The sequence below is a fragment of the Homo sapiens genome, chromosome 19 (assembly GCF_000001405.40).
Source record: "Homo sapiens chromosome 19, GRCh38.p14 Primary Assembly".
Classification (NCBI taxonomy): Eukaryota; Metazoa; Chordata; class Mammalia; order Primates; family Hominidae; genus Homo; species Homo sapiens.
The window spans coordinates 38,163,874-38,186,452 of record NC_000019.10 but is presented as its reverse complement, the minus strand read 5'-3'; the positions used below and the strand labels follow the sequence as shown (position 1 = coordinate 38,186,452).

General features: G+C 51.9%; 1 protein-coding gene across 7 annotated transcripts in view, besides 3 other annotated features; it reads right to left on the bottom strand.

Annotated features, from left to right (window-relative positions):
* SIPA1L3 (signal induced proliferation associated 1 like 3) overlaps positions 1-22,579 on the bottom strand; it is a 301,162-nt gene that overhangs the window by 21,917 nt on the left and 256,666 nt on the right. For all 7 annotated transcript variants that reach the window (XM_047438486.1, NM_015073.3, XM_017026518.3 and 4 more), the window contains 2 exons: positions 21,547-21,974; positions 3,713-3,934 (listed from right to left, as the gene is read on the bottom strand). In XM_047438486.1, coding sequence (XP_047294442.1) covers positions 3,713-3,934; positions 21,547-21,974 — 650 coding nt within the window. The remainder of the gene's footprint in view (positions 1-3,712; positions 3,935-21,546; positions 21,975-22,579) is intronic.
* Positions 10,462-10,962: an enhancer, noted in NCBI's record as "H3K4me1 hESC enhancer chr19:38666131-38666631 (GRCh37/hg19 assembly coordinates)". NCBI's record gives its function as "activates a minimal SCP1, AML or CMV promoter by ChIP-STARR-seq in naive H9 embryonic stem cells {active_cell/tissue: H9 hESC(naive)}" and the evidence as "EXISTENCE:reporter gene assay evidence [ECO:0000049][PMID:30033119]".
* Positions 15,452-16,013: an enhancer, noted in NCBI's record as "H3K27ac-H3K4me1 hESC enhancer chr19:38661080-38661641 (GRCh37/hg19 assembly coordinates)". NCBI's record gives its function as "activates a minimal SCP1, AML or CMV promoter by ChIP-STARR-seq in naive H9 embryonic stem cells {active_cell/tissue: H9 hESC(naive)}" and the evidence as "EXISTENCE:reporter gene assay evidence [ECO:0000049][PMID:30033119]".
* Positions 19,953-20,155: a silencer, noted in NCBI's record as "fragment chr19:38656938-38657140 (GRCh37/hg19 assembly coordinates)". NCBI's record gives its function as "represses an EF-1alpha promoter that drives an FKBP-Casp9 reporter gene in an ReSE screen in K562 erythroleukemia cells {active_cell/tissue: K562}" and the evidence as "EXISTENCE:reporter gene assay evidence [ECO:0000049][PMID:32094911]".

Below are 22,579 nucleotides of genomic sequence, written 5' to 3'. Positions count from 1 at the left end.
TAGTCCCAGCTACTTGGTAGGCTGAGGCAGAAGAAGTGCTTGAACCCAGGAGGTGGAGGTTGCAGTGAGCCGAGATCACGCCACTGCACTCCAACCTGGGCAACAGAGCAACACTCCATCTCAAAAATAAATAAATAAAATAAATAGATTAATAAATAAATAAATATTAAAAGGAACTATGAAGCGATTTCATTTGTGTCTCCTGCTGATATTTTATATGCTTAGTTTACATATGTTTACACCAACACACACATATACAAGCCATCTCTGGATTTCATCACTGGGAAAGCTGTTGTTGGATAGGGTTGTTGTCTCTCCAGGTACATCTTCTGAGCACCTACTAAGTGTGTGGTCTGGGTGAGGTTCAGGATGTCTCTGTTCTGGGCCCCATGGGGGTGACAGAGAGGAAGCAAGTTGCCAAGGGAGTGGCGGTCGCTGTGCCCTGGGACAGGTGCTGGGGGTGGGCTGAGCCTGGTGTGGGGGTTCAGACAACTTCTGCAAGAAAGGCGTGTCTGTGTTGATACCCAAGGAGTGGTGTTATGGGTTGAACTGGGGCCCCACAAAAAGCTACATTGAAGTCCTAAGCCCCAGCATCTCCAAATGTGACCTCATTTGGAGACAGAGTCTTTACAGAGGCAATCAAGTGAAAATGAGGTCATTAGGGTAGACCCCTAATCCCGTTAGATTGGCGTCCTTGCAGAAAGAGGAAATGTGGGCACAGATGCAGGGAGAACATCATGCGAAGAGGAGGTAGAGACGGGGGTGATGAATCTACGTGCTGACACCCACCGGCTGCTAAGAGGGAGGCCAGGAACAGGTTCTCCCTCACCGCCCTTGGAGGGAACCACCCTGTTGACGCCTGGAACTTGGACTTCTGGCCTCCGCAACTGTGAGATGATACATTTCTGCAGTTTAAGCCACTCAGTGTGTGGTAGTTTGTTGCGGCTGCCCCAGCAAATTAACATGGGTGGGCAGGAGTGGGCCTAGAGTGGGGGTGCGGGTTGGGGGGTGGGTTCCAGGCAGAGGAAGCAGTGTGTACGGGTGATTGTTGAGGAGGGTAACAGGGTTCAGCAGGGCCCAACTTGGGCCACACTGAAAAGTGGGGGCCTTATAGTATCTACTTATTGGGGTCACGTGAGAATCAAACAAGATCCACACGTCTTATGTTCAGGATGGAGCATGCCCTGTGTGCCAGGCACGTTACAAGTGCCTTGTGACTAAGACGGTGGCACCTGTTTCCCATGGGGGACACGGGATGTGGAACAGAGTACAGTGACACAGAATGACAGCCTGGGCTACTGAAGGCCAGGAGGACCTGTTTGAGGGGGTGGCATTAGAGCGAGTCCTCATGAGCTGCACCCAAGAAGATCTGGAGGGAGCTCACTGGAGGCAGCAGTGAGAGCCAGTGCAAAGGCCCTGGGGTGTGCCTGGACGTGGAGAGTGTGAGGAACAGCAAGAGGCCAGTGTGGCTGGAACAGAGCAAGGAGGGGAGAGTGGATGGGAACGAGGGCAGAGGTGAGGGGCAGATCATCCAGGCTCTGAGCGGGAGTTTCGGCAAAGAACATGGCGCCTGGTATAAACGTGTGTAGTCAATGTGAGCCTGCATCATTAATCCCGGGAGCATGGGGAGGCTGCTGAGTTTTTAAGCAGTTTTAATCATCAGTCTAGTTTTCAGAATCCCCTCTGGCTCTCAGTGTGAGCTCAGCACACTTGCCTGCTGATATCTCCAGGGACACTGTTTCTGTCTCCTGACACGTCTCTCCCTCCAAGCTCTGTGTCATCCCCGGATTTGAATGTCTCCATGTAGGTCATGAAAGATGACACTACAAAGAACAGGATGGAGGAGGGCAGAGCCCCTCACTCAAGAGACGTGAGCCTTGACCCAGGCTTCCTGGGCTCTGATCCAGGCTGTGTTCCTCACCAGCCCTGTGACTCTGGGCCTCAGCTGCCTCATCTGTAAAAGGGGGAGGACAGGGGCCGGGCGCAGTGGCTCACGCCTGTAATCCCAGCACTTTGGGAGGCTCAGGCGGGCAGATCACTTGATACCAGGAGTTCAAGACCAGCCTGACTAACATGGTGAAACCCCGTCTCTACTAAAAATACGAAATTAGCCGGGCTTGGTGGCGCATGCCTGTAATCCCAGCTTCTCGGGAGGCTGAGGCAGGAGAATCGCTTGAACCCGGGAGGCGGAGGTGGCAGTGAGCCGAGATCACGTCATTGTACTCCAGCCTGGGCAACAAGAATGAAACTCCGTCTCAAAAAAAAAGGGGTGGGGTGGGGGGAGGACAGGTCCACCCCCATGGAGCTGTTGTGGGATCCAGTAAATTCATTCGCATCAAACCACTTAGAACTGAACCTCGATGTGGTGAGTGCTCAGGCAATGTTAGCTCCTGTATCCTCCGACTGAAAAACAAAACCCTTTCTCAACTGCACACCCCTCTCCTCTTTCACTTTAAAGCAAAATGCCCCAAATGAACTGCTCACGCAGCTCCTCAATTCTGCCTCACCCTTTTCTCCTGAACCCTCCGGCGACCTCTGGGAGGATTAACCCTATATAGTCGGTTCTCAGTCTCATCACCCTGGCCTGGGCCCAGCCTCCTCGCCCGAGCTCCGCCTCTCCTGGCCCTGGCCCCGCCTCCGCACCTCTCCGCCTCCGCACCTCCCCGCCTTCCCCGGCTTCTCACTTTGGCTCAACATCAAGGGGTTTCAGTCTCAGTCCCACATTTCTCCTCTCTCCACACCCTGCCTTAGGGGCTCTTCCAGCCTCGCAGCTCTAGGCTGATAACACCCAAAGTTCTCCCTCCAGCCTGACCTCTCCACTGAATTCGGGATTCCTTACTCAAGGGCCCCCCTCACGCCTCCGTCTGGATGTCTCCTGCGAATCTCGCACCGAAGCATCCAGGATTGAGCTACTGTGCCTTCCCCAAGCCTGCTCCCCACTCAAGGCAAGTCTGTCCTCCGGGCTTCAAGACGACGCACCATCCTCAACCCCTCTCTTTCTCTCACACCACATCCACCCTGCCAGCAAGCCCGGTCTGCTCCATTTCAGATAATCTATCCGGAACCGCCCCCTTCTCACCCTCTCCGCCCCCACCCTGCTCCCGCCCCTTCGTCTGCGCCTGGACCATGACAGCAGCTCCTCCCTGCTCCTCGCAGGCTGTTCCCCACACGCAGCCACAGCGACCCTGGAATGCCCAATTTAGATCCTGCCCCCTCTCTGCTCCATGCCCTCCCGTGGCTCCATCTCAGTCAGGGAAGATGCCAAGTCCCTTCCACGTGGCCCTCAAGACCCTCCATGGTCTGTCCCCATCCCTCCCTGACCTCATGTTCCCACACCCTCCCCTGGCCCAAACTGTTCCAGCCACCCCGGCCTGCCCACAGGCAACCGTGTCACTCACTGCCTCAGGACCTCTGCAGCTGCTATGCCTTCTCCCTGGAATGTTCCACACCCGGATATGGCACAAGGATAACCACCATTGACCTATTGCGTGCTTCTCTTATTCTACTTATTGTTGGTCACCCCAAATGGAATGCCAGCTCCCCAAGAGGGGTTCTCGCCTGTCCTGCTTGCAGCTGCAGCCCCAGTGTGTACACTGGTACACTGGCCCACAGTCGTCTGTGCAATGACAGCATGTGGCATCACCCTCTTTCCGCCCCGGAGACGCCCTGGTGTGGATCTGGCGGGCGCCTCGCTGGACGTCCAGGCACTTACTTCTTTGGGTCACTGAAGGGGAGTGGCCGTGGTGGGGGCTCCTCCGTTCTCTTCCACCCTGTTGGGTGCTTATTGCGTACAGGCTGCTTGGAGAAGAAGGACTTGGGGACGGAGGCGGAGAGCTGAAAGGGGCTGGGCTGGGCCAGCTGGGAGGGCCGAGGAGTCTCTGCACTGGCAGTTTTGTAAACCTGAGCGGGGTAGCCAACCCTCGAGCCCATGTCACTGCAAAGCAAAAATGAAAGAGATAAAAAAAACCAAATCCATTCCACATTTGGCAAGACAGAGCTATTGAAGTTTACTCTTGGGAATCAAAAAAGTTCATTTGCACAAGACAGACACAAATATATTACCGCTGTGGAAAATTCCAACAGTATAGACGCCTATCTGTAGAAAAGGGAAGACTGCCTGCACAGCGCCTAATCCCACCCAAGGATGGCCTTCTAGCACATTTGGTTCCTCTATAGGAATCTGAAAAATTCACTCCCGTCTCCTTGGTACAACCTACGCAGCTAAAGGTGGGGATCTTACCTCCTGCCCATCTCGACAGGGAACTATGGCTTACAGTTTGCTCTATTTCCTTCCTAACCTTTCTTTTTTTTTTTTTGAGACAGGGTCTCAGTCACCCAGGCTGGAATGCAGTGGCGCGATCTCAGCTCACTGCAGGCTCGACCTCCCAGCCTCAAGTGATCATCCCACCTCAGCCTCCGAGTAGCTGGGACTACAGGCATGCACCACTATGCTTAGCTAATTTTTGTAGAGATGGGGTTTCACTATGTTCCCAGGCTGGTCTTGAGCTCCTGGGCTCAAGCAATCCGCCTGCCTTGGCCTCCCAAAGTGTTGGGATTACAGGATGAGCCACTGGGCCTGGCCCTTAACCTTTTTTTTTTTTTTTTTTGAGACAGAGTCTCACTCTGTTGCCCAGGCTGGAGTGCAGTGGTGCAATCTCAGCTCACTCCATCCTCAGTCTCTCGGGTTCAAGCGATTCTCCTGCTTCAACCTCCCCAGTAGCTGGGATTACAGATGTGTGCCACCACGCCCAGCTAAGTTTTTTGTATTTTTAGTAGAGACAGCGTTTCACCATGTTGGCCAGGCTGGTCTCAAACTCCTAACCTCAGATGATCCGCCTACCTCAGCCTCCCAAAGTGTTGGGATTACAGGTGTGAGCCACCGCACCCGGTCAACCTTTTTCTATGCAAAAACATACGCATGTGTATATAAAAGGGGGCATTTTGTGGGGGATGGGTGGGAGGATTATTGGTTTTTTGTTTATTTAAAGAGACAAGGTCTCGCTATGTTGCCCAGGCTGGCCTCGAACTCCTGGGCTCAGGCGATCCTCCCACCTCAGCTTCCTAAGTACCTGGGAACACGGCATGTGCCAGCACACCCAGCTAGGATTATATATATAAGTTAATAAATCCCTTTTGAGGGTCAATTTAGCAGTATCACAGGATGGTACTTTGACTACAGTCAAATGAGAAGACTGGCACATCTCCCCAGAGATGACAACATTGACCACAAATGACCATTTCAGTACTCCGAAAATTGACCAAACACATACAACAATTTGAGAAGCATGTATGCTTGAGAAACTGAACTTTAGGGAAGAACAGAGGAAATTTGTCGCATTTTGTCCTCCCCCCACCTCTTCCCAGCTCAGTGAGTGAAGAAGTTCTTCCAGAGCAGAACCTTTGGGACGGTATCAAGGGTACCAACATATGTGCATCAGGAACTTTGGAAGGAGAGGAGAGAAGGGGCAGAAAAAATATTTGAAGAAATAATGGTTGGAAACTTCTTAAATCTGATGAAAACCTTACACATCCAAGAAGCTCAACAAACACCAAGTAGGAAAAATACAAAGAGATTCACACCTAGAAAAGGAGTTGAAAGTTAAATGCTGGCCGGGCGCGGTGGCTCACGCCTGTAATTCCAGCACTTTGGGAGGCCAAGGCGGGCAGATAACCTGAGCTCAGAAGTTCGAGACCAGCCTGACCAACATGGAGAAACTACATCTCTACTAAAATACAAAAAAATTAGCCAGGTGTGGTGGCGCATCCATATAATCCCAGTTACTTGGGAGGCTGAAGCAGGAGAATCGCTTGAACCCGGGAGGCGGAGGTCGCGGTGAGCCGAGATCACGCCATTATGCCGTTGCACTCCAACCTGGGCAAAAAGAGTGAAATTGTCTCAAAAAAAAAAAAAAAAAGAAAAGAAAAAAAGAAAAATGCTAAGATAAACATCTTGAAAGCATCAAGAAAAAGATGATGCATCGCATATAGAGGAGCATCAATACAATTAGCAGGCCTATAATCCCAGCACTTTGGGAGGCCAAGACGGGAAGATCACTCAAGCCCAGGAGTTGGAAACCAGCCTGGGAAACACAGTGAGACCCCACTTCTATAAAAAAGAAAAAAAAACACAATTAATTGCTGACTTCTCATTTAAAAGAATGAAATAAAATGTAACTTTTAAAGTGCTGAAAGAAAACAACTGTTAACCAGGAATTCTATACCCAGCAAAACCATCCTTGAAAAATGAAGGCAACAGAAAGATGTTCCTATATAAACAGAGATGGAGAGAATTTGTTGCTAGCACACCTGCCTGATACAAAATAATTTTAAAACTCCTCGGGTTAATCCCAGCACTTTGAGAAGCCAAGGCAGGTGGATCGCCTGTCAGGAGAGCTCGCAGCCTGGCCAATATGGTGAAACCCCATCTCTACTAAAAATACAAAAATTAACTGAGTGGTGGCGGGCACCTGTAATCTCAGCTACTCAGGAGGCTGAGGCAGGAGAACTGCTTAAACCCAGGAGGCAGAGGTTGCAGTGAGCTGAGATTGCGCCACTGCACTCTAGCCTGGGTGACAGAGTGAGACTCCATCTAAAAAAAAAGAAAAAAAAAGTCCTCAGGCTGAAAGAAATGACTCTAGACAATGACCTGAGTCAGTAGACAGAAATGAATAGCCCAAGATGGCAAACTGTGGTTTAAAATAAGATTCTATAAAAGTATATGCTTTCTTATTTCTTCTCTTAACTTCCTTAAAGACATAAGACTGTATAAGGCAATAATGACAATACTATACTGCTGGGTTAAAACACATATGGATGTTTATGATAAACAGAGCACAAAAAAGGGAGAAGGAAATAGGACAATATTGGAGAAAAGTTTTATATTTTATTGGAATTTAGTATTAACCTGAATTGCAGTGATAGACGCACATTATAATAACTAAAAAGATAGTTACACAAGAGTAGAATCCAAATGTTATACTAAATTATATATATTTTTTATTTTTAACTTTTGAGACAGAGTCTTACTCTGTCACTTAGGCTGGAGGGCAGTGGTGCAACCTTGGCCCACTGCAACCTCCGCCTCCCTGGCTCAAGCGATTCTCCTGCCTCAGCCTCCTGAGTAGCTGGGATTACGGGTGCATGCCACCACGCCCAGCTAATTTTTGTATTTTTAGTAGAGACAGGGTTTTGCCATGCTGGCCAGGCTGGTCTCGAACTCCTGACTTCAGGTGATCTGCCCGCCTGGGCCTCCCAAAGTGCTGGGATTTTACAGGTGTAAGCCACCACATCCGGCCTGAAACTGTATTTATTTACTACAGTATAAGGCAGTAAGGAAGAACAGAGGAGCAAGAAAGATAGTAGACATACAGAAACAATAGCAAAATGGCTAATGCAAATCCAACCATTAGCAGTAATAATTACATTTAACGTGAATGGTCTGAACACTCCCATCAAAAGGCAGGGATTGTCCGACTGGATTGAAACAGCAACTATGTAATGCTTTCCACAATTTAGCAACATCTATCAATGGAGCAAAGAGTAGGCATTGGTGAGGAGATGTCCAGGGAACTACTGAAGCATGTAACACCAAGAATGGTCAGGAATGCTTTCCCCAGGAGACAAGAGCATCAGAACTGAGAACTGAAGGATGACTGGCTTCAGCTTAACATTTGGCCTGGCTGGGTGTGGTAGCTCATGCCTGTAATCCCGGCACTTTGGGAGGCCAAGACGGGCAGATCATGAGGTCAGGAGATCGAGACCATCCTGGCTAACACAGTGAAACCCTGTCTCTACTAAAAATACAAAAAAATTAGCTGGGCATGGTGGTGGGCGCCTGTAGTCCCAGCTACTCGGGAGGCTGAAGCAGGAGAATGGCATGAATCTGGGAGGCGGAGGTTGCAGTGAGCCGAGATCGCACCATTGCACTCCAGCCTGGGCGACAGAGTGAGACTCCATCTCAAAAACAAAAACAAGACATTTGGCCTCCCAGAAATCCATGCAATAGAAAAGCCTGCACAAGGCCGGGCATGGTGGCTCATGCTGTAATCCCAGCACTCTGGGAGGCTTAGGTGGGAGAACTGCTGGAGCCCAGGAGTTGCTGTAGAGACTCTATCTAGGGACGGGGTCTTGCTATGTTGCCCAGGCTGGTCTTGAACTCCGGGGCTCAAATGATCCTCCCACCCCAGCCTCCCAAAGTGCTAGGATTACAGTTGTGAGGCACCATGCCCAGCCCTAGAGACCCTGCCTCCACAAAAAAATAAAAATAGCCAGGAATAATAGCACATGCCCATAGTCCCATAGTCTTAGCTACAAAACACACACACACACACACACACACACACACACACACACACACACACACACACCAAAAGCCTGCACAAGCACACACAGGCAGGTATGAGGACGGTCTCTGTAGTACTGTTTATAATCAGGAAAAGTTGGAAATGGCCAGGCTGGAGTGCAGTGGTGTGATCTCGGCTCGCTGCAACCTCTGCGCCTCCGGGGTTCAAGCGATTCTTGTGCCTCAGCCTCCTGAGTAGCTGGGATTATAGGCATTCACCACCATGCCTGGATAATTTTTGTATTTTTAGTAGAGACGGGGTTTCACCATGTTGGCTAGGCTGGTCTTGAACTTCTGGCCTCAAGTGATCCACCTGCCTCGACCTCCCAAGGTGCTGGGATCACAGGCATGAGCCACTGCGCCCTGCCGCAAGCATATCCTTATGATCAAAAACTATGCAGCCAGTGCAAAGGTCAATCTCTGTTTATGTATGAGGACAGATGGTCTGAACTATAGTAAATGGAAACGATGCATGGTATAAAACATGATTCTGTGTATTTAAGGGAAAAAATATATAGATAGATATACACACATATGTATAGAGAAAAAAAGAAATAAAGTAGAATTTTATACTTTTTTTTGTCCTTTTTTCCCCCTTTTTGTGGGGAATGGGGTCTCACTAAATTGCCCAGGCAGGTCTCGAACTCCTGTGCTCAAGCTATCCTCCTGCCTCTGCCTCTCTGAGAGCTGGGATTACAGGCATGAGTCACTGCGCCTGGCAAAATAAACTAGAATTTTTTTTTTTTTTTTTGAGATGGAGTCTTGCTCTGTCACCCAGGCTGGAGTGCAGTGGCGCAGTCTCAGCTCACTGCAACCTCCGCTTCCCAGGTTCACGTCATTCTCCTGCCTCAGCCTCCTGAGTAGCTGGGACTACAGGCGCCCACCACCACACCTGGCTAGTTTTTTCTATTTTTGGTAGAGATGGGGTTTCACCGTGTTAGCCAGGGTGGTCTCGATCTCCTGACCTCATGATCTGCCCACCTTGGCCTCCCAAAGTGCTAGGATTACAGGAGTGAGCCACCGCGCCCGGCCCAGCTAAACTAGAATTTTTAAAAAGTCACTGTATTTCTTGCAAGGTAAGGGTTAAGTGGCATGTTTTTTGTTTGTTTGTTTGTTTTTTTGTTGTTTGTTTGTTTTTTTGAGACGGAGTTTCACTCTTGTCGCCCAGGCTGGAGTGCAATGGCATGATCTTGGCTCACTGCAACCTCCGCCTCCCAGGTTCAAGCGATTCTCCTGCCTCAGCCTCTCGAGTAGCTGGGATTACAGGCATGTGCCACCACACCCAGCTAATTTTGTATTTTTAGTAGAGATGGGGTTTCTCCATATTGGTCAGGCTGGTCTTGAACTGCTGACCTCAGGTGATCCACCTGCCTTGACCTCCCAAAGTGCTGGGATTACAGGTGTAAGCCTCCATGCCTGGCCTAAGTGGTATGTTTGAAAGAACTGGGTTGGTAAAGGTTTAGAGAAAAATCTCTGGAGGAGTGTACACTAATGGATTCTCTCTGAAAGTAGTAATGATGGGGAACATGTACGGAATAAAAGTCAAATTAAGCTGGGCATAGTGGCATATGCCTGTAGTCCCAGCTACTTGGGACGCTGAGGTGGGAGAATCGCTTGAACCCAGGAGTTTGAGGCTGCAGTGAGGCATGACTGCACCATTGGATTCCAGCTTGGGTGACAGAGTCCCCATCACTCAAAAAAAACAAAAAACAAGCAAATAAAAAAAACAAAAAAAAAACCAACCCTAAAAAAAGTCTAATTAAACTACATAAATGGCACAGGGTAAAAAGTAAGTGGCCAGCCGGGTGCAGTGGCTTACGCCTGTAATCCCAATACTTTGGGAGGCTGAGGCGAATGGATCACCCGAGGTCAGGAGTTTGAGACCAGCCTGGCCAACATGGCGAAACCCCATCTGTACTTGAAAAAAAAAAAAAATTAGCCAAGTGTGACGGTGTGCACCTGTAATCCCAGCTACTCAGGAGGCTCAAGTGATTCTCCTGCCTCAACCTCCTAAGTAGATGGGATTACAGGTACCCACCATTATGCCTGGCTAATTTTTGTATTTTTTAGTAGAGACGGGGTTTCATCATGTTGGTCAGGCTGGTCTTGAACTTCTGACCTCATGATCCGCCCGCCTCGGCCTCCCAAAGTGCTGGGATTACAGGCGTGAGCCACAGCGCCCAGCCTGAACGTTCTTTCTTTCTGGAGCGCCAGTGTGCCCATGCGTCCTCCTGAAGTCTCAATATCAACTTGAAAACTGGGGCAGCATAGTGTGGGCTTTGCTGTCCACCTGACCCAGTTCCAATCCTGGCTCCCATCAACACAGTGGCCAACTTGCGTGGGGTCTATTCCCCTCAGTGAGCCTCAGTTTCCTCCTCTGAGAAATGAGGCAATGACAGCACCTGCCTCACGAGATCCTATGTGCTAAGTGCTCAGCACTGAGTCCTGAGGAGGAACCGCGGAGCTGCAGGTGCCAGGGAGGTGGTGGGTCCCTGGGCTCTGGGCTCAGACAGCACTGGTGGTAGCGGGGGAGGGGCAGGCAACGTGCTCTGTGCTTCCATCCTCACCTTCAACCAGAGAGCTATGCATTAACCTGCTTGACATCTTAGGGGAGCATTTAACATTTTGTTGGAGTCAAAGGATTTATGCTTCCAAAAAAAGCTGAAAAACCAGAGGCTGGGTAGAGAAATCATACCAGCTGCATAAGTGTGTGCAATGCTTTTGGTCTGTTCAGCCTGGGGACTCTGAAGGGGACCAATGGGTGGTCCTGGGTGGGTGACAGGCTCTCAGGGAGCGAGCTGTGGTCCCTGCCTCCAGGAGGAGCAGTGGCACAGTAGGTGGCAGTGACAGTGCTGACCACTCTGAGCCTGTGGAAGCTGCCTGGCCTTGTTCTAAGCATCTTATAGGCGTCACCTCACTTAGCCGCCGTAGCAACCCCGAGACAGGAACTACCACCACCTCCATGTTCCAGGTGGGGGAAACTGAGGCCCAGGGAGATGAAATAACTTGCCCGAAATGATGTAGCTAGTGGGGGATAAGAGCCAGGATGTAGACATAGGTAGTCTGGTTTGAGAGACGATATTTTAACCACCATTCTGTACTCCCAGTGACAACAACTGTTAACGATAAATATCAATACATAATACATGAGAATAAAACACAGCAGCAGCTGATACACTTGAGCCCAGCTATGTCTCCAGTCCTGTGATAAGTGCTTTAAACTCATGGTCTCAGTTCGCCCTCACAACTTTAGATGGAGGATCCTTTTTTTTTTTTTTGAGAAAGAGTCTAGTTCTGTCACCCAGGCTGGAGTCCAGTGGTGCCATCTCAGCTCACTGCAATCAAGTGATTCTCTCGCCTCAGCCTCTCGAGTCTCTGGGACTACTGGCACCCGCCACCACACCTGGCTAATTTTTGTATTTTTAGTAGAGGCGGGGTTTCATCATGTTGGCCAGGCTGGTCTCAAACTCCTGACCTCAGGTGATCCGCCCGCCTCGGCCTCCCAAAGTGCTGGGATGAGAGGCGAGCCACCGTGTCTGGTTGACAGATCCTATTACCCCCATTTTACAGATGAGGACATTGAGCCTCAGAGCACCTAAGGGGCCTGAGAGAGATCACGCAGTTGGGGTAAGAGGTGGAGCTGTGATGTAGACATAGGCAGTCAGAGGAAGAGCCCTGAAGTCACACTGCTCACCCACATACCCCGAGGGCCCCCAGCCACTTGGCCTTCACCCTGGACCAATCTTGCTTTCTCTCCCTGACGTGTGTCATGGGCTGGAGAACCAATTCATCCCTGCATGCGGCTGGAATTGTGCTCCAGTGTAGGAGCCGTAAGCAGCCACATTGCCCCTGTGGCCTGTGGGGCAGAAGCGACGGGTCTTCAGGAAGCAGACACAGAGAGGGTCTAGGCAAGAGATTCAACAGAGATACCAATCAAGCCACTGCTCGCTACCTCCACCAACCACTGCCACCTGTATTGTCAGAGCGGCCTCCTCCTGGCTCCCTCTTCCTCCTGCATCCTTCCCCAGCCTCAGCACACAGCCAGAGAGATCCTGGGAACATGTGAATCAGATCAGGACTCTCTCAGGGTTCCACCTCACTCTGGGTAAGACCCAGAGCCCTCCCGACAGGGCCCCCCATCTGCCCCCCTCTCTTCTCTGCCCCCAGCTCCTCCACACTCCCTCTCCTTCACTCTGCTCCAGCCATGCGGAAGCTGTTCCTCAAACACATCAGAAACACTGCTACCTTGGGACCTTTGCACTGCTCCCCGCCCTGCAGATCTCTGCCTGGCTTCCGCACTCCCTTGAGTTCCAGGAGACGGCCTCGCTTCCTCTTCCCAAGCTGTGACTCTCCGAGGAGGTCTCTGTCTCAGGTGACCCCAGCCTCCCAACACTCACAGGCAGGGTGGGCCCCGGTGGATCTTCAGGCCCTCAGATTACCTTTCAGGGCTGTGTCCCCAGAAGGGCATCCCAGGGACTCCTGGCGCAGCCTGGGGAAGCAAGGCCACGTGCTTCCTGCCTGCCTGGGAACGCCCGGCTGCGTCAGCTCCATGTGGAGCCGAGAGCCTATGACTGCTCCTAACAGCTCTGACAAATTGCTCTGGAAGCCCAGAAAGCTCTGGAGTGCGTGCTGCCTCAGGAGAGGGCGAGGGCCAGGTGGCTGCCCGCCCAGGATCACTCAGCCCACTGCGGTGCCCATGGCAGGCACTGGCGCCTGGCAGCATGCCTGGCAGCTGGGCTCCCATGACGAATGTCTGGAGGGAGCATCTGTGAGGTCATCGATGGGCACAAGCTGCTACAGGCTGCACCTGCTTCCACGGCAAGGGCCGCAGCCCGGGGAAGGGAGGGTAGGGGGCTCCCCGCTTGGGCGTGTCAGGACCCATCCCTCTCCTGGCAGCCTTTGAATGCTGACCACCATCCTCCCCCTGCCCAAGATAGTCCGTCCTCTCCAGAGTAGCCCACAGTGATCTTTTCTATTTTTTCATTTTTACATTTTATTATTATCATTTTTTGAGATAAGGTCTTACTTTGTCACCCAGGCTGAGTGCAGTGATGTGATCTCGGCTCACTGCAGCCTCCACTTCCCGGGGTCAAGCAATCCTCCAACCTCAGCCTCCCAAGTAGCTGGGACAACATGCGTGTGCCACCACACCCAGCTAATTTTTTGTAGACATGGGGTTTTGCCATGTTGCTCAGGCTGGTCTTGAACTCCTGGGCTCAAGTGATCCACCTGCCTTAGCCTCCCAAAGTGCTGGGATTACAGGTGTGAGCCACTACGTCCAGCCCACAGTAATCTTTTTAAAAACATTAAGTCAGATGATGTGCTCAAATGCCTCCCATGGCTCCCATGTCCCTTGGAACCAAATCCCAGCATCTGACTTTGGTCAATATGCCCGCTAGAACCAGGCTCCTGCCACCTCACTATGCTGACCTCCTGCCACTCTCCCCCCATCCCACCTGCTTCAGCCCCTCTGGCCACCTGACCATTTCTGGAGCATTGAGAGTAAGTTCACCCTCAGGGTCTAGTCATCTACTGTTTCCACTGCCTGGATCTCACCCTGGCTTCCTACAACGCATCACCTCCTGAGAAGCCTTCCCAGAGACCCGCTGTTTTTGCCTTTCCTCCCCAGCACTTATCACCTCCTGGCACACTCCACGGTGGTTCGGCTGTCTGTCTGTCTTGTCCTGTCTCCAGGAGAATGACAGCTCCATAAGGGAAGGATGCTGCGACACCTGGCACAGAGTAGGGGCTGCAAAGGTCAGTGACTGGAAGAATCAGTCCCCGCTGGCTGCCCCACTCTGCCTCCTCTTCTCACAAGCACCTCAGGTGCTCCCAGGCCACGGCAGCCTCCAGACACGTGGCAGCCACCCTGGACTCTCACATGGCTTGCTGGCTCTGCCCTGGGCCTGCATCTCCCTCCCAGCTTACTTCCTGGCAATGCCGCCTGCTGCCACATCCACAGTTGCTTTGTCCTCCAGCTCAGGCCCACGTCCTCCCATGCAGATCCAAGCCTCAGCCCCCTCAGAGACTTTGCCTCCTGTCTCGCTGCCAGCACCATATTTTGGAACACAAATCCACCCGCATTACCCTGGCTGCTCTTAAGATGAGATCCAAACTCCATAATGGAGCTGGTAGGGCCCTGAATGTTCTGGCCACTGCTGATTTCCCCAACCTCCCATTGGCTGCCCTACCTGCCTACCTACCTACCTACCTCCAGGGCCTTGCTCTGTCACCCAGGATGGAGTGATTGATTGATCAACAGGGTGTCAATCAGTTACCCAGGATGGAGTGCAGTGGTGCAATCACAGCACACTGCTGTCTCGAACTTCCAGGCTCAAGTGATCCTCTCACCTCAGCCTCTTGAGTAGCTGGGACTGCAGGAGCCTACTGCCATACCCAGCTAATTTAAAAAAATTTTTGGCCAGGCATGGTGGCTCATGCCTGTAATCTCAGCACTTTGGGAGGCCAAGGTGGGTGGGTCACCCGAGGTCAGGAGTTCGAGACCAGCCTGGCCAACATGGTGAAACCCTGTCTCTACTATAAATACAAAAATTAGCCGGGCGTGGTGGCAGGTGCCTGTAATCCCAGCTACTCGGGAGGCTGAGGCAGGAGAATCGCTTGAACCTGGGAGGCAGAGGTTGCAGTGAGCTGAGACTGTGCCATTGCACTGCAGCCTGGGCAACAAGAGCGAAACTCCATCTCAAAAAAAAAAAAAAAAAAAAAAAAGTTTTGGTAGGGGGATAGAGATGGGTCTATGTTGCCCAGGCTGGTCTCAAACTCCTGGCCTCAAGTGATGCTCCTGCCTTGGCCTCCCAAAGTGCTGGGATTACAGGCATGAGCCACTGTGCCCAGCCACAATTTCTATACTTGAGCCCAAGGGCCTGTGTTCAGTGGCCTGACGATACCACCCTCCTCCCTACCACAGGGACTTTGCACACGCAACTCTAATTCATAGACATACTTTCTCCACGCCTCATCTTTCCCTTCTGTTTTTTTGTTAATGGTAAATAGTCATATATACATTCTTCTGAATGAGAAATTCAACAGACTTAAAAAAAAACATATGTGTGTATATATACATAGTTGTATATATACATACTGAGGTTCACAACATATATTGAGGCCCAGAAAGTGTGTGTGTCTATATATATGTTGCATATATACACACAATTTCAAAAACAGAGCAAATACCTGTATAACTGCATCCCAGATGAATGTCTCTCCAGCCCCACTGAACCCCTCTCCTCCTTCACCCGCTCCCTCCTCCCTGTCCCCCTCATCCTTGGCAGATGTGACCCTCGTTCAGGAACATTATCGCTGGCCCTAGGCTAGATTAGACACCTCCTCCAGCTCTGCATCCCATCCACCCTCAGACCCCACCCGTCTCTGCAGGCTGTCCCCTGGCACAATTCATTCATGACTTTTGGCATTATTCACTAGCTGTTTCCCATGGGCCTCCGTCCGTACCAGGACGGTGGGGATCTGGTCTGCCTGTTCCAGCTCCCTGCAGAGGCCCCGGTGCACAGCAGGCGCTCGCTGTGTGAATAAATACCAAGTTCTATGCCACAGAGTGCTGTGGAGGTAGACATAGGGCAGTCAATGAGTGCTCATGCTGGGCCTGTTCAAAGGTGCCTGCCTTCCAGGAGCAGAGGCTGGGGAGCAGGCTGTCACTCCAGCCCAGGGGCACGTTCTGACGACAGCACATGAGGGGGGCTGCTGGGCTGCCCGGTGCACAGTGCAGTGTGGCCGCCATGGGAGGCAGAGGCACGTGTGGCCACTTGAACCAAGGTCTGGCCCCAAGCAGGTGGCTCTGTGACCATCCAGGGAACTTGTGCCTACTGAAATGGGAAGACTGTGGGAGGCCAATGGAGTGAGGTGGGGTGAGATGGACAGTGGGAGTCCGTCTCATTCTCTGTCTGGACTGCTTTTCCCTCCTGACTTCCCTGGCTAGCTCAGACTCTTTCTCCAGGAAAGCCCCTCCCACAACTGGGCTGGCCCCTCTCACAACTGGGTTAGGGGGGCCCCCTTTGGGCTCTCACATCCCTGTACCCCTCCATCATGGCCCCAACCCCTCTGCCTGGCCCCCCTCCAGCCCACCCTGGCCCCTCTACCTGGGCCCCTCATCTTACCCTGGCCCCTCTACCTGGGCCCCTCATCTCACCCTGGCCCCTCTACCTGGGCCCCTCATCTTACCCTGACCCCTCTTCGCAGCTGCCTTGTATCCCAGCCCTGACCCCTTAGCCTGGGCCCCCCACCCTGACCCTGACCCCTCTGCCTGGGCCTCGCCCATCTTGACCTGACCCCTCTGGGCTGTCTCTGTCTGGGAATGCGTCAGTCAGGCAGGACTGGGGCTCCCCCAGTCACCGCTGTGTCCCCAGCACTGCCTGTAACAGGTCTTGGACCAGGGGGGATATTCTGATTTCGTGAATTTGAGGCAAGGCCTCATTTCTGTGTGTTTTTCAAATACACCCTCATACCCCATGATTCTGACAGGCAGTCTTCAAGTCAAAGCACTGTTCTAAGGGTACATTCAATCTTTACCACATCCCTATGATGTAGGTATGTGGTTTATCCCTAGTTTCACAGATGAGGAAACTGAGGCCCAGAGAGGTTCAGTTACTTGCCTGGGGGTACACAGCCAAGAAGTCGCTGAGGGAGGGATTGAATGCAGGTGGGCTGACACTAAAGGCCACACTCTTATCCACATGGATTTTTTTTTTTTTGAGACTGAGTCTCACTCTGTTGCCAAGGCTGAAGTGCAATGGCGTGATCTCGGCTCACTGCAACCTCTGCCTCCCAGACTCAAGCGATTCTCCCGCCTCAGCCTCCAGAATAGCTGGGACCACAGGCGTGCACCACCACGCCTGGCTAATTTTTGTATTTTCAGTAGAGATGGGGTTTCACCGTGTTGGTCAGGCTGGTCTCGAACTCCTGGCCTCAAGTGATCCACCTGCCTTGGCCTCCCAGAGTGTTGGGATTACAGGCGTGAGCCACTGCGCCGGGCCTGGATATGTTTTTTTAAATCAACTCATTTTATTTTCTCCTTAACTTGTCCAAGGTGGTATCTGTAAAATCAGGGGGTGAGTTGCAAACTCTTTTTCCTAATACTCATGAAAGCAAGCATATATCCATTTAAAATAAAACATTTTCCTCCCCGCACCACCCAAATCACCTCAAGCACCCCATTTTGGGAAATGCTGTGCCACACTCAAGCCTGGTTGCCTAGGAGAAAACTTCAGGAAGCAGCTTTAATGAGCAGATAAGAATGATTTGCAATTAGCATCAATTGTCTGTATGCAAATTAAAGCTCCCAACCGCAGGGCCCTCTTCTGCAGCGGGCTCCTCTCCCATTTCATTGCCTTCATTTCTGGGTTCAGCAGATCCTTTCCTTAGACACAGGGTTATTTCATACCCACCCTCCCATCTCAGCCACAGTCTACTCCAGGCCTGGCTGTCTTTATGTCTCGGATTTCAAATCCTCCCAGTTGTTCGGGTTCGCTAAGGTGGTGGTCCCATGCCTGGAATGGGGGCTACTGCAATCGAGACCTGAGGCCCCTGGTATAGACTCTCTTGGCTTCATGTCCCTCTTCGTGGCACAGGTTTTTGTTTTTTTTTCCACAGTGTTTTATTTTTATTTTTTATTTTTTTGAGACAGAGTTTCACTCCGTCACCCAGGCTGGAGTGCAATGTATTTTTGTTTTGTTTTGTTTTTGTTTTTGTTTTTTAAGATGGAGTCTCATTCTATTCCCCAGGCTGGAGTGTAGTGGTGCAGTCTTGGCTCACTGTACCCTCCACCTCCCAGGTTCAAGGGATTCTCCTGCCTCAGCCTCCCGAGTAGCTGGGATTACAGGCGCCCACCACCATGCCTGGCTAATTTTTGTATTTTTAGTAGAGACGGAGTTTCATCATGTGGGCCAGGCTGGTCTCGAACTCCTGACCTCAGGTGATCCGCCCACCTCGGCCTCCCAAAGTGCTGGGTTTATAGGCGTGAGCCACCGTGCCCGGCCTGGGAGCGCACACGTATTCATTTGTCTCAGTGATTATCTGATTCTCATCTGCTTCCCTCATTTGACAGTGGGCGGTGGGGAGGCCTCATCCAAATGTGCTCCTGATTTCTCTCAGCTCCCAGCACAGTGTCTGGGACCGAGCAAATCCCTAAGAAATACTTATGAATGGAGTGAATGAATAAATGAATGAAAGAGCCATTCAAAAGAGTCCACATGTTCAAAAGATTAAGAGGTACTCGTCACCAGGTGTGGTAGCTCATGCCTGTAATCCCAGCATTTTGAGAGGCCGAGATGGGAGCATCGCTTGAGCCCAGGAGTTCGAGACCAACCTTGGCAACACAGTGAGACCCCTTCTCTACTAACAAACTTAAAAAATTAGCTGGGCATGGGGGCACACACCTGTAGTCTCAGCTACTTAGGGGGCTGAGGTGGGAGGAACACTTGAGCTGAGGAGTTCGAGGCTATCGTGAGCTATGGTCGTACTACTGCACCCCAGCCTGGGCAATAGAGCAGGACCCTGTTTCTAAAAAACAAACAGCCACTTGTCTAGGGAGATGAACTGAGAGGTCTAAAACACTCAGACAGTGTCTCTCTCTGTCTGTCTCCTCTTTCCTCCTTCAGCCCTTCTCCTGGCTCTTTGACTCAAGGAGACCCTTGGATCACAGTGTGCCCGGGGAAGTGCTGACACTACAATCACTCAAACACAGTGGTTTTCAAATATCTGTCAGAGAACACTGTAAGCCATGAAATCATCTGAGTGGGGATTGATCAGCATTAAAAGTTTTTAAATAGAGTAGACTGGATCAAAGTATATCACACACAGGTTAAGAATTATTTTGGAAACCACTGCTTCACCTTTTTTTTTTTTTTTTTGAGATGGAATCTCGCTCTGTTGCCAGGCTGGAGTGCAGTGGCATGATCTTGGCTCACTGCAACCTCTGCCTCCCAGATTCAAGCGATTCTCCTGCCTCAGCCTCCCGAGTATCTGGGACTACAGGTGCCCACCACCACGCCCAGCTAATTTTTGTATTTTCAGTAGAGATGGGGTTTCACCATGTTGGCCAGGACGGTCTCGAGCTCTTGACCTTGTGATCCGCTTGCCTTGGCCTCCCAAAGTGCTGGGATTACAGGCGTGAGCCACTGCTCAAAGCCACCTTTTTTTTTTTTTAACATAGATATTTCTGTATAGATGGACACAATTCTACTGTGGACTGTGGTCAGAAGTCTGAGTTGGCTGCCTGAGTGTGGGTGTCCTGTGTGGAGAGAGGCTGGGGTTTGAGGACTGGAAAAGGCTTTAGGGCGCCACAGGAGAGGAAGATCCCTGCGCCAACCAGGTTCTGAGCCCTGATGGCTATCGGGGACTCAGGCTAGCCCACCCCAGGCATGGTCAGGAAGGGATGTGGGGCTGTGGACTCAGGGGCTGGCACTGGACACTACAGCACAGCAAGCCCTGCTGGGGTCACAGAACCCTAAGGGGGTCCAAGGATGAGGCTGAGCTCTGTGTCTGTGTAGAATACTCTTTCCATCTCTGTGCCCTTTTCTGGAAGGTGGCTCATTGCCTCCATCCGAACGTCAGTGTGTGTGGTCGGGACTCTAGGCTGCTGGCTCGCCAATTCCTGCTTTTCTTTTCTTTTCTTTTTTTTTTTTTTGAGACAGAGTCTTGCTCTGTCGCCTGGGTGGAGTGCAGTGGCACGATCTCGGCTCACTGCAACCTCTGCCTCCTGGGTTCAAGCGATTCTCCTGCCTCAGCCTCCCAAGTAGCTGGGACTACAGGCGCCCACTACCATGCCTGGCTAATTTTTTTTTGTATTTAAGTAGAGACGGGGTTTCACCATGTTGGCCAGGACAGTCTGGATCTCCTGACCTCATGATCCACCCGCCTTGGCCTCCCAAAGTGCTGGGATTACAGGTATGAGCCACCGTTTCCAGCCAATGCCTACTCTTTCTCTCTTACTCCCGTCTGCCTCTCTACCAGTGGCTCTCAAAGTGTGGTCCTGGGACCAGCAGCATCAGCATTTACTGAGAACTTAATGCATATTCTCAGCCGGGCATGGTGGCTCACACCTGTGATCCCAGCAATTTGGGAGGCTGAGGTGGGAGGATCCCTTTAGGTCAGGAGTTTGAGACCAGCCTGGCCGACATGGTGAAACCCTGTCTCTACTAAAAATACAAAAATTAGTTGGGCATGGTGGTGGGCACCTGTAATCTCAGCTACTCGGGAGGCCGAGGCAGGAGAATCACTTGAACCTGGGAGGTAGAGGGTGCAGTGAGCCTGAGACCGCACCACTGCACTCCGGCCTGGTGAATAGAACGAAACTCCGTCTAAAAAACAAACAAAAAAACACCAATGCACGTTCTCAGGTCTCCCGCTCCGACCTATTGAATCAGAAACTCTGGGTGGGGGCCAGCAGCTGGGCTGAACAAGCCTTTGAGGGCTTCTGTGGGGACCATCGCCGTATACGGTAGAGCCTGGAAGACCAAACTACAACTTTCCAGACCTCCTTGTAGCTGGGATGGCCCCGTGATGCCAGCTGCTGAAAGGGGTTCTGGGAAAGTGTTTGCTTTCTCCATAGGAAGGGAAAGGTGCTCAGAGGCTTCCAACTTTCCCCTCTTCTCTGTCCCCAACTGCCACTCACCAGGCAGCACAGCTCCATCTCAAGGCAAGTGAGACATGAGCCAGCATGGTAAAGATGCCGAGCAGGGAGACACAGAGTGCCAATCCTTGAGGCTCTCCACAAGCCACAGCACTAGCCTGGCTCTGCCTTCTCTGGACTTCATGTTAGGGGACTGTTTGTTACACCTCTATTTGTTTAAGCCACAGAGGGTCAGGTTTCCTATTGCCTCCAGCCAAATACACTCTATCAGATACAGTCTGTGACCCTTTAGAAAGCATAAAAACTTTTGGTATCAGCAGAGAGCAAAGAAAAAAGAGACAGAGGGTCAGAGAGAACCAGAGACAGATGAAAACAGAGACAGAAGGCCAGGGGTTTCTTTCCCTCCACCTGGGGTCCCTGAATGCTGATGGATGGGCAATAAGGCAGAGATCCACGAGCTCCTCAATTCTGTCAGCAAACCAATGACTAGGCGCATTCATCCGTGAGTGTGTTTCTGGGGAGGAGAACCCCACCATCAGGACCGTAAAAGTAGAACTGGCGAAGTGGAAGGTGGTTAGAACCCAGACTAGGTGCAACAGCTTACCTGGGCTGCCTCGGTGGGTCTCGGCTGCCCCCCGCCAGTCCCGTGGGGGTGCTGGAGCCGGAGGAGTACAGCTTCGGTCGGTAGCCCTTGCTTTGGCCGGCAACTGCGGGGGCAGGGGAGACCTCCCGCCGCCTGTCTGCGTGGTGGGACCTCCCAGCGGCCTCGCGACCCCCGCCACAAAGGCCCATACTTCCAGGGGGCTTGTGTGGCTTGGCGGGCCGTGGAGCCTTGGCCAGGGACATGCAGCTAGGGCTGGAGGTGTAGAGGGTGGTGTCGATGCCGCTGTCACTAGAGCCACCCTTGGAGAGGGGGTCTTGCTCTGGCTCCAGGGGGTCCAGGGGGTCGAACCAGCGGTCGTCGCTGTGGCTGCTGGATGCGTTGCTGGAGAGGGTGTTGCTGCTGGAATGACTTGAGTATTGAGGTTCTCCCTGAGAGGCAAGAGAAGCGTGTCATTCCCAGACTCCAGGGCAGGGGCGCATCTTCCCTTGCCGGGTCCTCCCTCTGCCTGGGCCTGAACCCTGGGACCAGACAGCTTCAAATCCTGGCTTCTCATCTACTGGCCGTGTTACCTTGGGCAAGTGATTTACCTTCCCTCAGCCTCAGTTTCCACATCTGTAAAATGGAGGGTGATAGTAAGCCTGCCTCATGGGGCTGCTCAGAGGAACAAATGACATCAGGCACAGAACATGCTTCCCACATCTCAGACTCAGCGAATCTAAGACTGAGTTCGGCAGCGTCTTCCTCATCTCAATGACGCCGGCCATGCTTTCAGCTGCCCCTGCCAAGAGCCGTGGACTCACCTTGACCCCGCTTTTGCTCTCACTCATGTCCAGCCCACTAGCAAACCCTGCTGCCCGCGTCCTCAACACAGATCCGGGACCTGTCACTTCCTGCTCCACGGCTCCGCGTGGTCCTGTCCATGCCTGTCCTGTCCTCCCCCTGGGGCCAGTGCAGCAGCCTCCTCCCTGGTCTCTCTGCACCCTCATCCCCCTGTTTATTCCCCACACGCAGCCAGCAGAAGGCTGAGAACACC